Here is a 15,164-nt window from a genome sequence, read left to right as displayed (position 1 = left end):
CCACCCTCTATTCAACATTGTATTGGAAGTCCTAGCAGATGCAATAAGACAATAAGGGGGAAAAGGGATATACGGATTGAGAAGGAAGAAATAAAACTGTCTTTATTCATAGATAACATGATTATCTATGTAGAAAATCCCAAAGAATTGTCCAAAAAACTTCAAAACCCTCCTAAAACAAAAAAATCCAAACTCTGGAACAAAGAAATGATTATAACAAGATTGTAGGATACAAGATTATTACAGAAAAAACTACTGCTTTCCTGTAATTGGAATTTGAAATTAAAAGCACAATGTCACTTACATTAGCACCAAAAAAGAAAAAAGGAGACAGACAGAAACAAATAAATACTTAGGTATACATACAATATCTATGTGAAGAAAACAACAAAACTGATGAGAGAAATAAAAGAAGATATGAATAAATGGGGAGGTATTCCATGTTCACAGATAGGAAGGCTCAATATTGCTAGGATGTCACTTCTTCACAATTTGATCTATTGATTCAATGCAATCCCAGTCAAAATCACAAGTTACTTTGTGGATATTGACAAATTGATTCCAAAGTTTGTATGGAAAGGTAAATGGCTTAGAAATGCCAATGCAATACTGAAGAAGAACAAAGTCAGAGGACTTACCCAACTTTAAGACTTACTATAAAGCTACAGTAATAAAGACACTGTAGTATTCTTGAAACAATAGACAAATAGATCAATGGAACAGTATAGAATGTCCAGAAATAGACCCACACAAATATAGTTAGCTGATTCTTGACAAAGGAGCAGAGACAACTTAATAGAGAAAAAATAGTCTTTTCAGCAAATGTTGCTGAAATAACTAGACATCCACATGTAAAACAATGAATCTAAACACAGACCTTATACTGTTCACAAAAATTAACTCAAGATGAATCAGCCCACTGGGTGCAGTGGTGCTTGCTTGTACTCCCAGCTACTCAAAAGACTGAGGTGGGAAGATGGTTTGACTCCAGGAATTTGAGACCAGACTGGGCAATATAGTGAGACCCCCATCTCAAAAAAAGGAGGGGGAAATCCATTGATCACAGAAGTAAATGTAAAACACAAAAACACAAAACTATAAAACTTCCAGAAAATAACATAGAATATCTAGGTTGTACCTTTATACACAACACCAAAGTATGATCCATGAAAGACAAAATAGAAGTCCTCAAGTTAGACATATGTATGTATGTATGCATGTATGTATTTTTGAGTCAGAGTCTCACTGTGTCCCCCCGGCTGGACTGCAGTGGGGCGATCATGGCTCACTGCAGCCTCGAACTCCTGGTCTCAAGTAATCTTCCCATCTCTGCCTTGTGAGTAGTTGAGACTACAGGCATGTGCCACCACAACTGGCTACGTCTTTCTATTTTTTTTAGAGACCAAAAAATATGACTATTTTGGCCAGGCTGGTCTCAAACTCCTGACCTCAAGGGATTCTCCTGCCTCAGCCTCTTAAAGTGCTGGTATTACATGCATGAGCCACTGCACCCAGCAAGTTGGCCTTTATTGAAGTTAAAAACTCCTGCTCTGAGAAAGACCCTGTTAAAAAATTTAAAAGGCAAGCCACAGACTGGGAAACAATTATTTAAAAACTATGTATCTGCTAAAGGACTTACATTCAAAATATACAAAGAGCTCCCCCAAACTCAACATGATACATGTTACAACATGGATGAAACTTGAAAACATTATGTTAAGTAAAATAAGCCAGACACAAAAGGAAAAATATTGTATGCTTCCACTTATGAACTATCTAGAAGAGTCAAATTAATATGACCGAAAGTAGATTAGAAGTGATCAGGGACTGAGGAAGGCTGGAATGTGGTTATTGCTCAATGGTTAAAAATTTATTTTTGAATCCCAGCACTTTGGGAGGCCGAGGTGGGTAGATCACCTGACGTCAGGAGTTCAAGACCAGCCTGGCCAACATGGCGAAACCCCATCTCTACTAAAAATACAAAAATCAGCTGGGCATGGCGGTGCAGGCCTGTAATCTTGGTGCAGCTACTTGGGAGGCTGAGGCATGAAAATCGATTGAACCCAGGAAGTGGAGGTTGCAGTGAGTGGAGATTGTGCCATTGCACTCCAGCCAGGGCGACAGAGCGAGACTCCGTCTCAAAAAAAAAAAAATTTCTTTTTGGAGTGATGACAAACTTTCGGAAATAGATAGTGGTGATAGTTGCATAACATTGTGAATATATATATATTATTTATATATACATTATATATATATTTAATTATTATTTTTGTGAGATAGAGTCTCCTTCTGTTGCCCAGGCTGGAGTGCAGTGTTGCTATCTCGGGTCACTGTAACCTCCGCCTCCCAGGTTCAAGCGATTCTTCTGCCTCAGCCTCCCAAGTGGCTGGGATTACAGGCACCTGCCACCACACCAGGCTAATTTTTGTAGTTTTAGTAGAAATGGGGTTTCGCCATGTTGGCCAGGCTGGTCTTAAACTCCTGGCCTTAAGCGATCCACCTGCGTTGGCCTTCCAAAGTGCTGGAATAACAGGCGAGAACCACCACCCGGGCTGTGAATATATTTAATGTTACTGAATTGTAAGCTTAAAAATAGTTAAAATGGTGAATTTTATGTTATGTACATTTGTCACAATTCAAGAAATTAGTAATGTAATATAAATATGCAGAAAAGCATTGAATTATACACTTTAAATGGATGAATTATGTGATGTGTGAATTATATGATTTTGGTATCTTGTTTAAAAAACCCTTTGCTATCCCAAGGTTATAAAAATATTGTTGCAAAAGCATTAATGTTTGCTTTTCCCAATTATGTCTTTAATCAATCTATAATTGATTTTGATGTGTAGTATAAGACAGGGATCTAATTTCATCTTTTCTCACACAGAAAACTAACTGTTCCAGCAACATTTATTGAATATGTAACTTTACGTCTGCTATAGATTAAGTTATCCAATATATGTGAACCTGTTTGCTGGCTTACTTCCTTGTCCCTTTGTTATGTTTTCCTGCCTCAGTACCAGTCCCACATTGCTTTAGTTCTCATAGTTTTAAGTCTTCATGGCTATAAGGGTAAGCCTCCTTCCTAATTCTTCCTCAGGAATGCCTTGGCCCTTGTTAGTGCTTTATCTTTCATATGAATGTCAGCATAACTCTGTCATATCCTTTGAAGAATGCTATAGAGATTTTGTTTGCAATTTTAATGAATTTAACATTAGTTTGTAAAGAAAATGATATTTTCATTATTTTGCATTTCCCATTCACAAACATGGTATATCTCTGCTTTTATTTATATTTCTTTTATGTACTTCAAAAAAGTTTTATATTTTCCATACAATACACACTTTTCTTTCTTTCTTTTATTTTTTATCTTTTTATTTATTACCTTAAATTTTTTTTTCTGCTCCTACGCCACCAGGAACAATTTTCTCTTGTTAAATTTATTCCTAGGTATTTTTGGTGGTATGTGGAATGTCATCTTTTTCACACTTATATGATTGAGTGATGCAATTGATGTTTGTATATTGAGCTTGTATCTTTTAACTTTGGTGAACTCTCAATTGTTTGAACAGTTCCAATGTATTCATTATGTGTTGCCTATAAACATTTTAGTATTGCCTACTATCTGTAAATAACAGCTGATTTCTTTTCAATCTTCATTTCCTTTTCTTCTTTTTAAAATTGCCTTGGCAAAGACCTTCAAAACAATGTTAAATAGAGGCAGTAATAGGCTTCCTTTTCTTACCATTCCCTTCAAAGGAAATGCTTTTAATGTTTCATCTTTAATTGTGATGAACTTCTATGTTGTAGGTAGATACATATTAAAACAATTTTGAAGTTCTGGTTTAAGAAGGAAAACAATGAACATCTAATAACACCTCATGTAACTCAGTTCTTTTTTTTAAAAACAAAAAAACAAAAAAACAGGCCTGGCCAGGCGTGGTGGCTCAGGCCTGTAATCCCAGCACTTTGGAAGGCTGAGGCTGATGGATCACTTGAGGTCAGAAGTTTGAGAGAAGCCTGGCCAACATGATGAAACCCCACCTCTACTAAAAATACAAAAAATTAGGCGGGCATAGTGGCACATGCTGTAGTCCCAGCTACTCAGGAGGCTGAGGCAGGAAAACTGCTTGAACCTGGGAGGCGGAGCTTGCAGTGAACGGAGATCACACCACTGCACTCCAACCTAGGCAACAGAGCAAGACTCTATCTCAAAACAAACAAACAAACAAAGAAAACCCCAAAGCCAAACCAAAACAAAAAACCCCAGGGTCTCACTGTGTTGCTGAGGCTGGAGTGCAGTGGCATGATCTCTGCTTACTGCAGAGATCACCTACTGGGCTTAAGCAATCCTCCCACCTCACTTTCCCAAGTAGCTGGAACTACAGGAGTAGGCCACATGCTCGATTAAGTTTTGTATTTTTTGTAGAGATGGGTCTCACTATGTTGCCCAGGCTGGTCTTGAACTCCTGGGCTCAAGCTATCCTCCTTCCTTAGACTCCCAAAGTGCTGGAATGGGCCACTGCGCCTGGCTCAGTTCTTTAATCTTCAGATTAAAACTTCCAGCCATGCAGTAAACTTTTTCTTAGTGGAAAACATTATATGCTGTCTCATTCCTAGATTGTAAACTCTTTGAAGGAAGAGACTTCTTTCTTGAAACATTACCAGATCTTGTCTATATACTGAGACTCAAATTCTGCCTCTCTCTTGGGTCCTGAAATGGACACACTGGATACCACCCAAAAGTTTATGCATGGCAGACTTATGCTAAACAATCTAAATTAGCATTCAGGATCTTTTTACTACACCTCAATTCAACCACTTGTAATTATGTATTTATTTTTTTTTTTATTCCACTGAGCTAGGCACTGCTGGAGCTAAAAAGATGAGTAAGACCCAGTTATGCCTCCCAGGAGCACGTATTTGTTGGAGGAGATAAGACAAGCTCATGCATGTACATGCAAGTACAAACACAAAACACAGAGAGTTAAATACTAAACCAGAGGTATTAATACAAACCTCTTGGAGTTCAAAGAAGAAACAGTAACAGTTGGGCAGGTGGGAAAAAGGGACCATTGGGAAGAATTAGGAAAAATCTCATGGAGGATGTATCATTTGAGACAGACCTTAAAGATTTAAACAATGTAATAGAGGGTACTGGAAGAGTGTTACCATTGGAGGGAATAACATGCAAGGTATGAAAGTAGGAACAAGGAGGCCAGTTTCAGAGGCTCTGTTTGGCAGGAATATGTAGAGTATACAGAATGAGTTATAGATGGGGTATGGTCAGACCATGAATAATAAAAATAGAAATAATAGCTTGAATGCCAATGTAGGTTTTTAGTAATGCTGTTGTCCCCAGAGAGCCATTGTAGGAGTTTTGAGTGGGATGGTGTTGTGGAAGCTTGCTCCTCTCCCATCCTTTCTCTCCTGAGCAATATTAGCTTTGCCTCTGTCCAGCACAGCAACATACCAAAACTTCAGCCAACGAATCAAACCCCCAGGCTCCGGACCTTCCTACAAGGTACCTCTTCTTGGAAAGCTGTCCAAAATAACACAGAAACCAGGCACTAGATGCTAGTAAATGTGTACCCACTCTGTGTATAATACAGTGTGTTGAAAGGGTGTTCAAGAGTAGACGGTGTTCAAATGAAGAGTACAGATAAGAGGTCTTTGGTGGTTATAATATTAATAGCAATACGGGGCAGGGAGATGCGATTTCAGGGTGTCAAAGAATAAACTGACGAAGAGAAGATGAATGCAGACAGTAAATTCCAACTACTGAGCCTGGAGAATGAATTGTATGTGGCCAGCCTTTCGAGGCAGCCAGGACTTAAATTGGCACTAGTGTACAAAGTGTGAAACCCGAACAACTAGGGGGGTTATTTTGAGGCCACCCATTAGGCCTTAGAAGCACTATCCCTCCTAGTGCAATGTTGAAAGGACTGGACTCTGAGGCTGTTGAGATGGACCTGGAGAAGCTGTCTGTGTGTGTTTGATGATCTTAAGTTTTACTGTGACGTGGACTTTGAGGTCACTGGGGTGGGGGGAGGGAAGTACCCTTGGCATTGGCAGAGCTGGAAGGTCTGTGCAAGCTGGCTCCTGCTGGGGAATCAATAAAGGAGGCAGAGCAACGCTTTTTTTTTTTTTCGCCGTGGCCAGGGCAGGGTTCTGCCAGGGCTCTATCGCCAATGGAGCAGGGGTCCACCTGGGGCCTAGGACGCCTGCAGATAGCCCTCTCTTAGCCCCAACGGCCGCGGGCTTCAGCGCTCCCCGGCTCCCTCGCTCTGCAGGGTCTTCCCGGTACCGGCAGGCCGCGGCGGGAGCTGCTTTCGCTCTTAACCTTGCAGGTGCGTGTGCCGCGGGCGCCCGGGGCAGGCAGGACGCAGAGGAGGAGGCGCCCGCCATGCCCGGCCTGCGGCTCCCCGCCTCGGCTTCCCGTCCGCCGCCCCCGCGGAACGGCCTGCTGCAGCCCCTGTGAAGAGGAAGAGGCGGCGGCGGCGGCGGAGGAGGAGGAGGCGCCGCCCCCTTGGCAAGCTCCCCGACCCGGCGGCCTCGGCAGGACCCATGGCGGATTCCTCGCCCGCACTGTCCCTGCGGGAAGGCGGCCCCCGCGCGCCGCGGCCCTCGGCCCCCTCGCCGCCGCCGCGCTCGCGCTCCGGCTCCGAGTCCGAGGAGGCCGAGCTGTCGCTGAGCCTGGCCCGCACCAAGACCCGCTCGTACGGCAGCACCGCCAGCGTGCGGGCGCCGCTGGGCGCCGGCGTCATCGAGCGCCATGTGGAGCACCGGGTCCGCGCGGGCGACACGCTGCAGGGCATCGCGCTCAAGTACGGTGTCACGGTGAGCAGGGCGCGCCGCCGCGGCCCGGGCTGGCAGCTACCGCGCAGGAGGCGGTGCGGCTCGGGGTGCGGTGGGGGTGGGGGTGGGACTGCGGGTGGGGGTTTGGGGGATGGGGAGTCGCAGGGACGGCCGTGCGTCCCCGGGCGGCTCGGCTCCCAGGGCTCGCTCAGCGCGCGCTGCTGGCCACCGCAGTGGTCGCCAAAGCTGGTCCTGCAGCGGGAGGGGCGGACCGCCAGGGCTCCCTCCCTAGGTAGCTGCATCGAGTTCCCGGTGCCCCGCCCAGGCTCAGACTAGATCTGTCGCGTGAGGGAGGCCGAAGAGGACTAGGGCTTTGGCATCCCCGTGAACCACCTTCACCCAATTTGCAGGCCCCATCACACTACTCTATATTTACGCAAAGCCCAACTGAGGTGAATTTTGTTGTCTGTGAAAACAAGCTCCGTGATGAGTCAGGAATGGTGCAGTTGTTCCTACTGGGTGGTTCTGGTTCTATCGATTATGCTTCTTTATGTAGAAGTGAAATTACACCCTCTGGGCTCACTGGCAACCGCGAATGTGACACCTGTCGCTAAGCAGCAGCCAAGAACTGTGGTGAGCTGGAGGGCTGCGTTTATTACAAATTTATAAGTGTGTGTGTCTTGGGTGTATAGCATTACACCTCTGGGAAGAACATGGAAACCTGAGGGAACAAATTGTTTCATTAAAATTACTTATAATTAACTGTGAGCTATGTGATGGCCTTTTTACATTTGGGATCTGTATCAGTTTTCAGTGTTCTTTCCTGAAGCACCTTAGACAGCAATGGGAAGAAAGAGGATCTTATCTATATCTTTCCCTTAAAGTGAAACTCTTTCTGGCCCTTTACCGAATGAAGGAGCATCAGTATGAAGGAGAATGTATTTTGCATATTTAAGCCGGTATATGTTTACCTATCAGGTCCTTCTATCTTTGAAATATTTTGAAAGGGACCTTGCTGTGCAGTCATGTATTGACTCTATCATGCCATGGAGAGCCCCATTCTGCCCTCTTGGGAGTTCTATACATGTGAACATAGAGCTACAATTCTCTATGTGCCTTAATGGGGCCTGGTTTGAGTCAGAGGCAGAGGAAAGCGAAGTTGGGAAATACCAGTAGCTACCCTCTGCTGAATGCCTCCTGTGTGGCAGGCATTGCGTTTGTCTTGTTTCATCTTTATCTTATTTAACTTTCACAATAAGCCCAGGAGGTAGGTGTAATTAATCTTTTTACAGATGAGAAGATGGATGAGAGGTAAGGATATTTTCCAAGTATGATCATTCATTGAGACCAGCTTGAATTAACAGTGATAAAGCATTTGCTTTCCTCTAGATATTACTTTTGATATCCATCCTTATTTTTATCTTAGTCTTATCAGGAGCTCTCTCAGCATCCTGGCTACTGAAGGAGGACAGTCTTTTCTATCTGGTTTTCAGGCATCTTGCCTTACTAGGCTAGTGACAGCACCTAAAAATCTATGACATGCAGAAGAGTGTTATTTCCCATGCTGTCTTCCCGTGCAATCTCTCTGTGACCCACAGCCGTCTGTGGTTTCACTTGAGTTGATTATAGATAACTCTTATACATCTGTTTACTGCAGTTTTCCACCTTTGATCAAATGCTTTCTAATCCCTGTTATGTCTAATATAGATCCTATTACTCATAACCTCATTACCCCTTTTTAAAATTAAAGTGTAGATCAGATTTTTCGTTGCTTTTATAAAGACTTTTGATTTTAAGATATTAAACACAAGGATAATGAATCAGGAACTATAATTGATAGTGACACATAGTTCATTACAGGGTTTCCCAACCTCAGCACTGTTGATGTTATAGACCAGATAACTCTTTGTTGCACGGGGTTGTCCTGTGCAGTGTAGAATATTTAGCAGCATCTCTGGCCTCTACCCACTAGATGCCAGTAGCACTCTCCCACCCCTATTCAGGCATTGCCGGATGTTCTCTAGAAGGCAAATTTACCCCTGGTTGAGGACCACTGGTTTATTACATGTATTTCTCATTACTTTGGGCCCTGGCTTATAGTTGATAAAATTTTTAGAGACTCCTCCACTGGTAATATAGAATCAGTGAAAGTGATAATACTTACCATAACAGTGAAGTGATATTCTTGTTTTAATATCTTCAGATTTTTTTTTTTTTTGAGACAGGGTCTCACTCTGTTACCCAGGCTGGAGTGCAGTGGCACTAACATGGCTCACTGCAGCCTCAGCTGCCGCTGCTCAAGTGATCTTCCCACCTCGGCCTCCTGAGGAGTTGGGACTACAGGCTCAAGCCACATGCCCAGCTAATTTTTGTATTTTTTGTAGAAATGGGGTCTCATTATGTTGCCCAGGCTGGTCTGGAACTCCTGGGCTCAAGCAATCCACCCACCTCAGCCTCCCAAAGTGCTGGGCCTACAGGTGTGAGCCACTGCACTGGTCTAATATCTGCAGATATTAATTAGGTTTACTCATTGTGAGATTTTAAGGTGGAAGCTAAAAAGGCAGAAAAATATTTTTCTTCTGACTGAACAGAAAGAAGTTGAGCAAATTAGGTTTCTGTTGTTGACTGGCAAGACCATCTACAACATATTTAAATGATTGTTTTAAAAGGTCGAAAATGAGATATTGGAGGCTTAGAGACTCAAGGCAGTGCACCTAGAAATTAAGTCAGTTCAGCAAACAGTTGACCTTAACATACCATGTCTGTCAATCTTGCACAGATGAGCAGAAACTCTCAGGAAAGCCTGTCTCTCCATGGCAACTCCTCAGCCACCCAGCTGGGTGTCAGGCAGGACTTCAGTCCTTTGGTGGAAGACTGATTAAGAGCCAGTCGTAGTCTAGGTACAAGGAAGTTCCCAGAACAGAGACTCCGACAAGGGGGTGAAGATGGAGACCTGGTTGCCAGCCCTGGATTACAAGGGTAACAAGCTGGGAGCCATTTTCTGAAGTGGTGCTGAAGGGCTGGCAGCAGGGCATATCTCAGGATGTGAGAATAGATCCATGTTCCTCAAATTGGCCTGGGCAGGACAGGAATACTCTGGGGCAAACTAAAAATAAAGGATCCTAGCTGACATTGGATCTATGGGATTGGAATACCCAGAAAAGGAGTCTAGGAGTCTCTGTTTTGTTTGTTTGTTTGTTTTTGTTTTTGAGACAAAGGCTCACTTTGTCACCCTGGCTGGAGTGCAGTGGCCTGATCTTGGCTCACTGCAACCTCCGCCTCCCGGGTTCAAGCTATTCTCCTGCCTCAGCCTCTCGAGTAGCTGGGACTTTAAGCACACGCCACCATGCCCGGCTAATTTTTGTATTTTTAGTAGAGATAGGGTTTCACTATGTTGGCCGGGCTGGTGTTCAACTCCTGACCTCATGATCTGCCCACCTTGGCCTCCCAAAGTGTTGGGATTACAAGCGTGAGCCACCGCATCTGGCCAGAGTCTCCATTTTTAACAAGCATGGCTGCTTTGCTTGTTCCCAAAGCACTGTTCTTCCTTGGGGTTCTTGCACTTGCTGTTCCATCTGTCTTTCTCTAATAGCTGGATACAGGGCTAGCTTCATGGGCATGTGACCTGCGCAGTCACAGAAGACCCCATGCTTAGAAGGGCCTCACACTTGGTTTAATGCTCTACTGTCATCTCTTGAAATTTTTAATAGTTTGTGAACAAGGGCCTCACATTTTCATATTTTTTTACTGGCCCTGGGCGAATGATGGAGCTGATTCTGGCTGAGTGATTTGTTCCCTCATTGCCTTCAAGTCTTTGCTTAAATATCTCATTCTTAAGGCCTTTTCTGCACACTCTATGTCAAATTGTAGCCTTTCTCCCTAGTCCCCCAGCGCTCCTCCCCAACTTCCCTGCCATGTTTTCCTAACAGTATTTATCATTCATCCAATTTTTTTTCTTTCCCTCAGAGCTACCTTTCTGGTGATACAATAGTGAGTAAATAAAAATCCATGTCCTCATAGAGCTTATATTTTAGTTAGTGGAGACAGTAAGTAGAAAAAGAAAATGTATCTTATATTGATAAGCATAATGAAAAAAAAACCAAGCAGGAGAGGGAGTTGGGGAGGGCTCGTGGAGATGGCTGGAATTTAAAATGGTGTGGCCAGGGAAGACCTTGCTGAGAAGGAGGTAAGGGAGGGAGCTGTGCAGATATCTGGTGAAGAACATTCCAGGCAGAAGGAATAACCAGTGGTGCAAAGGCCTTGAGGTGAGAACATAATTGGCACCTTCCAGGAGTACTGTGGCTGGTGCTTAGAATGCAGTGGGGTATAGTTGGACTAGATCACTTTGGACCTTGAAGACCATTGTAAGGGCTTTGTCTTTTTCTCTGAGTTGGGATGCATTTAAGGGGTTTGAGCCGAAGAGTGACATAATCTGACTTGTGTATTAAAACGATCACTCTGGCTGCTGCTTTAAAAATAGTTTGTAGGGAAGCTAGTACCAAGCAAGGAAACCAGATAAGATGGTGGCTTTTGCAGTAATGCAGGTGGGAGAGGATAGCAGCTGGGACCAAAGCAGTAGAGAAGGAAGGAGGTGGTGAGATGTGGCTGGGGTCTGGATGATTTGCTGATATGCTGTAAATGTTCTGCTTGTTTGTTTACTGTTTAGTTTGAATATCTCTCCCCTAGAGATGGGCCTGGGCATCCTGGGGATGGGAAAGAAGAATCTGGAGTTTCAAGAAGCTGGCTAGGCCTGACACCTGATGGACCCAAGTTCTTCTGCTAGTGACTTAGGAAAGATCATTATGACTCTTTCCTACCATCACCTTTTTAGCCATTAATAGCCATTAAAAACTGGCATTCATTATTTTCTTAACCAACTTCTATTGAGTCTGGTTGGTTTGAGGCCTTGGGCTAGATGCTGGGGCTAGAAGGTAATACATGTTGTTCTCTTTTTATTCATGGTGAGTTTTTCAGCTACTGCTTTCTAGTAGTTTCTAGCTACTTGAGAAGCCAGAGAATTTGTTTCATTGATGTTTGTATCTTCTGTGGCTAGCCTGGAGCCTGGCATGTTGTGAGTTCTCCGCATACATGTGGACTTCAGCCACAGGAAAGCTTGACTGGTATGAAGTAGCTAGCCATGGAGCTGAGCGGACCCTGGAAGTCAGGATCCAGGGCAGGGGCTGAGTGAAGAGGTGTGGCCTGCTGAAGACTTGAACTGCAAGATTTGGTTTGAGGCTCATTCTCAAATCTGTAAAAGACTGCTGCCCTTGCTGGTGCTCAGTGTTCATCTCCTCCCCTCCACCAGCAGTGGGTCTTTACATGGAATGACATATAAGTTTAGGCTTGAGCAGCTCTACCAGAGGAAGAGGCATTTGAGGAAGTGGGTCTGGGAAACTGAAACTACTTGGGGTGGGTTGAGTAACCGTTAAATATAGTTCAAACCTCAGACGTAAACTTGCTTGGCCTGGCATTCCCCTGGGTGTGTTTATCTCCACTGAGACATTAAGATTCCTTCCCTAACCCTGTATTCTAGATTTAGCTATTGCTTTTTCAGTGATCCTGGCTCCTCTCAGTTAGAGTCAAGCCTCTGGAGGAAATTGACCAGCTCTAGGCTGCCACCGTGAATTTTTGTGCAGAAACCCTGGAGAAACCTCCAGAGAGCCATATAGAAACTGAAAGTGGAAAGGAGGCAGCCAGGTGGACCTATGATTTGCATAAACTTTTTCTTTTTTCTCTTTGCTTCCTCCAGGCAGCTTGCCTGTCTTTTTCCCTCTCCAGAGGCCACCTCACCCCGCAGTACCCTCAGTTACTTCCTAGCCAGTTTTATTCCCAGGATTTTCTCTTCCTCTGCCAATTAGCTGCTAAGCCAAGTTGTTGCTTAACATTTCCGCTAACGAAAGTTACCTTGCTGAGAAAAGGTGAAATGATTGTCATTTTTGGGGGAATAAACATTGTGATTTAGAAACTCAGGTGCATGTAAATCTTTAGTGTTCATAACTTTAACCCCTGCTGCTGGTGGAGATTGCTGACCCTTGCTAGTTAAAGAGAAGATAACTATAAATAGAGCCACCAAAAGTGAGAGGTATGGCAAAGTAGCCTTTAGTCATTCGGGGTGTTTGTAGATTCTCATTATTTTTTTAAACACCTTTATTGAGGTTGTACACCACAAAATTCACCCATCTTAAGTGTACGATTCGATGACTTTAAGTAAATTTACAGAGTTGTGAGGCCATTGTTGGAATTCAGTGGTAGAACAGTTTCATCACCCCGAAAAGATCCCCATGCCCATCCATTCCTCTCACTCTTTGTTTCCTTCTTCAGTCTCAGACTACCACCAATATGCTTTCTAATCTATAGATTTGCCTTTTTTGGACATTTGCCATAAATAGAATCTCATGTACTTTTCTGACAGTGTGGGGAAGAAAAAAAGCCTTTTTCTCATGAACACATAGCAATGGAGGGGTCTGGTCTCATTGCCATCAACATCTAGAATGTAACAGGAGACAGATGTGGCGGTGAATCTTGGGAGAATCATTTAATATTGAAGTCTGTTTTCTGTAAACTAATAATCAGATGAGAGCTGTGTGCGTATATGAGAACATTCTGCAAGCCACACAGTGCTATGTACATGTTATTATGTATCCTGAAACATTTTTGGATGAGCTTATATCTTTTAAGGAATGGAGAGGAAGAAAAAGAAGTTTTGAGAATTGCATTCACTATTAGGTAGGTGGACTGATGATGCTGGCCCAAGATGGGAAGAGTTCTTGACCTTACTCAGCAGCCTGCTCTTAAGGTATCTTCTGGAGGGATGCTTTGTGAATTCCCTTCACAGGGGAATCATTGTATTTTATTTTATTAAAAAAAATTTTTTTTGAGACAGGGTCTTGCTCTGTCACCTGACCTGGAGCGCAGTGGCGAGATCTTGGCTAACTACAGCCTTGACCTCTCAGGCTCAAGCGATTCTCCTGCCTCATCCTCCCAAGTAGCTGGAACTATGGGAGTGCACCACCACACCCAGCTAAATGTTTTGGGGGATACTTTTTGGTAGAGATGGAGTTTCATCATGTTACCTAGGCTGGTCTCAAACTCTTGGGCTCAAGCAATCCATCTGCCTTGGCCTCCCAAAGTTTTGGGACTACAGGCATGAGCCACCACGCCTGGCTGGGGAGTCATTTTCAGTACGTTGTTTTTAAGTTATTGATGGCAGTTGTTCTACCTAATTTCACCATACTTGAACTTGTGACCACCCTTTGGCTGTTACTTTCCTTATTCTATAAACTGTTTCTTAGTGACCAGACAGTAAATTCATATTTCATTGAGTTACACTATTCAATCTAGGTTAAGGGAGACTTTTGAAATGAAAGCATTTGATCAGTGTACCTCCCCACTCCCATTCATCCATCCCTAAGAAACAGAGGATAGTCCTGCATCAGTTTGAAAGGACACATTTTCTAGTCTCAGCATTAATTGGATCTTAGGAAGTGTTGAACAGAGGGTAGGTGGGAAAGCTATAGAGTTTTCCAGCTCTTCCTTGGATTGGATCATGACTTTTCTTAGCTTTATATGAAGTGAAATTGCCAGAACAGTAGACCCAGCTACGTTCAGACAGAAGTATAAAACATACCAAAGGAGGCCAGGTGCGGTGGCTCATGCCTGTAATCCCAATACTTTGGGAGACCGAGGCAGGTGGATCACAAGGTCAGGAGATCAAGACCATCCTGGCTAACACGGCGAAAGCCCGTCTCTACTAAAAATACAAACAATTAGCCAGGCATGGTGGCATGCACCTGTAATCCCAGCTACTTGGGAGGCTGAGGCAGTAGAATAGCTTAAACCCGGGAGGAAGAGGTTGCAGTGAGCCGAGATCGTGCCACTGCACTCCAGTCTGGGTGACAGAGCGAGACTGCATCTCAAAAACAATAAAAATAAATAAATAAAAACATACCAAAGCAAAAGAAAACATCGTTTCACCATTTTGTATTTTTCAGTTTGTTGTCTGTGCTATGGCAGGTGCCTCTTTCTTGCTAATCCATTTTCTGCACCCAGCTGCTGAAGCAATCTTTAACTGTGATCAGATCATGTCACTCCCTGCCTTCACTCTCCAGTGGCTTCTCATCACATTTAAAATAAATTCCAAATTCCTTAACTTGGCACCCAAGGCCCTGCCTGGTTGGAAGTTTGCTTATTACTCCCTACACTTTAGCCACATGATTTTTTTCCTGCCCCAGGGCATTTGCTACTCCTTTTTCTAGATGGAATGCTTTTATTCCTGGCGCTTTGCATGTCTGATTTCATATTTCATCATGGGTAACAGAGTTTAGAGCCTATGCATTTGGCCTAAGCCATAGCTTGTAAAGAAC

The 15,164-nt window shown here is 43.7% G+C and overlaps 1 protein-coding gene across 4 annotated transcripts in view, besides 6 other annotated features; it reads left to right on the top strand.

Moving 5' to 3' along the window:
- Positions 1–15,164, top strand: part of LYSMD2 (LysM domain containing 2) — a 28,441-nt gene that overhangs the window by 7,259 nt on the left and 6,018 nt on the right. Inside the window, exon 1 of one of the 4 annotated variants that reach the window (NM_153374.3) lies at positions 6,538–6,843. The exons of 1 other annotated variant lie outside the window; for it this stretch is intronic. In NM_153374.3, coding sequence (NP_699205.1) covers positions 6,571–6,843 — 273 coding nt within the window. In that variant the 5' untranslated portion in view covers positions 6,538–6,570. Of the gene's footprint in view, positions 1–6,537; positions 6,844–7,130; positions 7,254–12,332; positions 13,598–15,164 lie in introns of those variants that run through there. 2 more of the 4 variants (NM_001363969.2, XM_047432340.1) reach the window with 2 other exon arrangements.
- Positions 6,220–6,659: a silencer, noted in NCBI's record as "silent region_6437". NCBI's record gives its function as "represses an Ori minimal core promoter by ATAC-STARR-seq in GM12878 lymphoblastoid cells {active_cell/tissue: GM12878}" and the evidence as "EXISTENCE:reporter gene assay evidence [ECO:0000049][PMID:35858748]".
- Positions 6,670–6,809: a silencer, noted in NCBI's record as "silent region_6436". NCBI's record gives its function as "represses an Ori minimal core promoter by ATAC-STARR-seq in GM12878 lymphoblastoid cells {active_cell/tissue: GM12878}" and the evidence as "EXISTENCE:reporter gene assay evidence [ECO:0000049][PMID:35858748]".
- Positions 6,880–7,089: a silencer, noted in NCBI's record as "silent region_6435". NCBI's record gives its function as "represses an Ori minimal core promoter by ATAC-STARR-seq in GM12878 lymphoblastoid cells {active_cell/tissue: GM12878}" and the evidence as "EXISTENCE:reporter gene assay evidence [ECO:0000049][PMID:35858748]".
- Positions 8,763–8,832: a silencer, noted in NCBI's record as "silent region_6434". NCBI's record gives its function as "represses an Ori minimal core promoter by ATAC-STARR-seq in GM12878 lymphoblastoid cells {active_cell/tissue: GM12878}" and the evidence as "EXISTENCE:reporter gene assay evidence [ECO:0000049][PMID:35858748]".
- Positions 9,633–9,692: an enhancer, noted in NCBI's record as "active region_9406". NCBI's record gives its function as "activates an Ori minimal core promoter by ATAC-STARR-seq in GM12878 lymphoblastoid cells {active_cell/tissue: GM12878}" and the evidence as "EXISTENCE:reporter gene assay evidence [ECO:0000049][PMID:35858748]".
- Positions 9,703–9,762: an enhancer, noted in NCBI's record as "active region_9405". NCBI's record gives its function as "activates an Ori minimal core promoter by ATAC-STARR-seq in GM12878 lymphoblastoid cells {active_cell/tissue: GM12878}" and the evidence as "EXISTENCE:reporter gene assay evidence [ECO:0000049][PMID:35858748]".

This window comes from Homo sapiens, chromosome 15 (genome assembly GCF_000001405.40).
Source record: "Homo sapiens chromosome 15, GRCh38.p14 Primary Assembly".
NCBI classification, from domain to species: domain Eukaryota; kingdom Metazoa; phylum Chordata; class Mammalia; order Primates; family Hominidae; genus Homo; species Homo sapiens.
The sequence above is the reverse complement of the archived record's forward strand: the minus strand, read 5'-3'. Positions and strand labels throughout refer to the sequence as shown.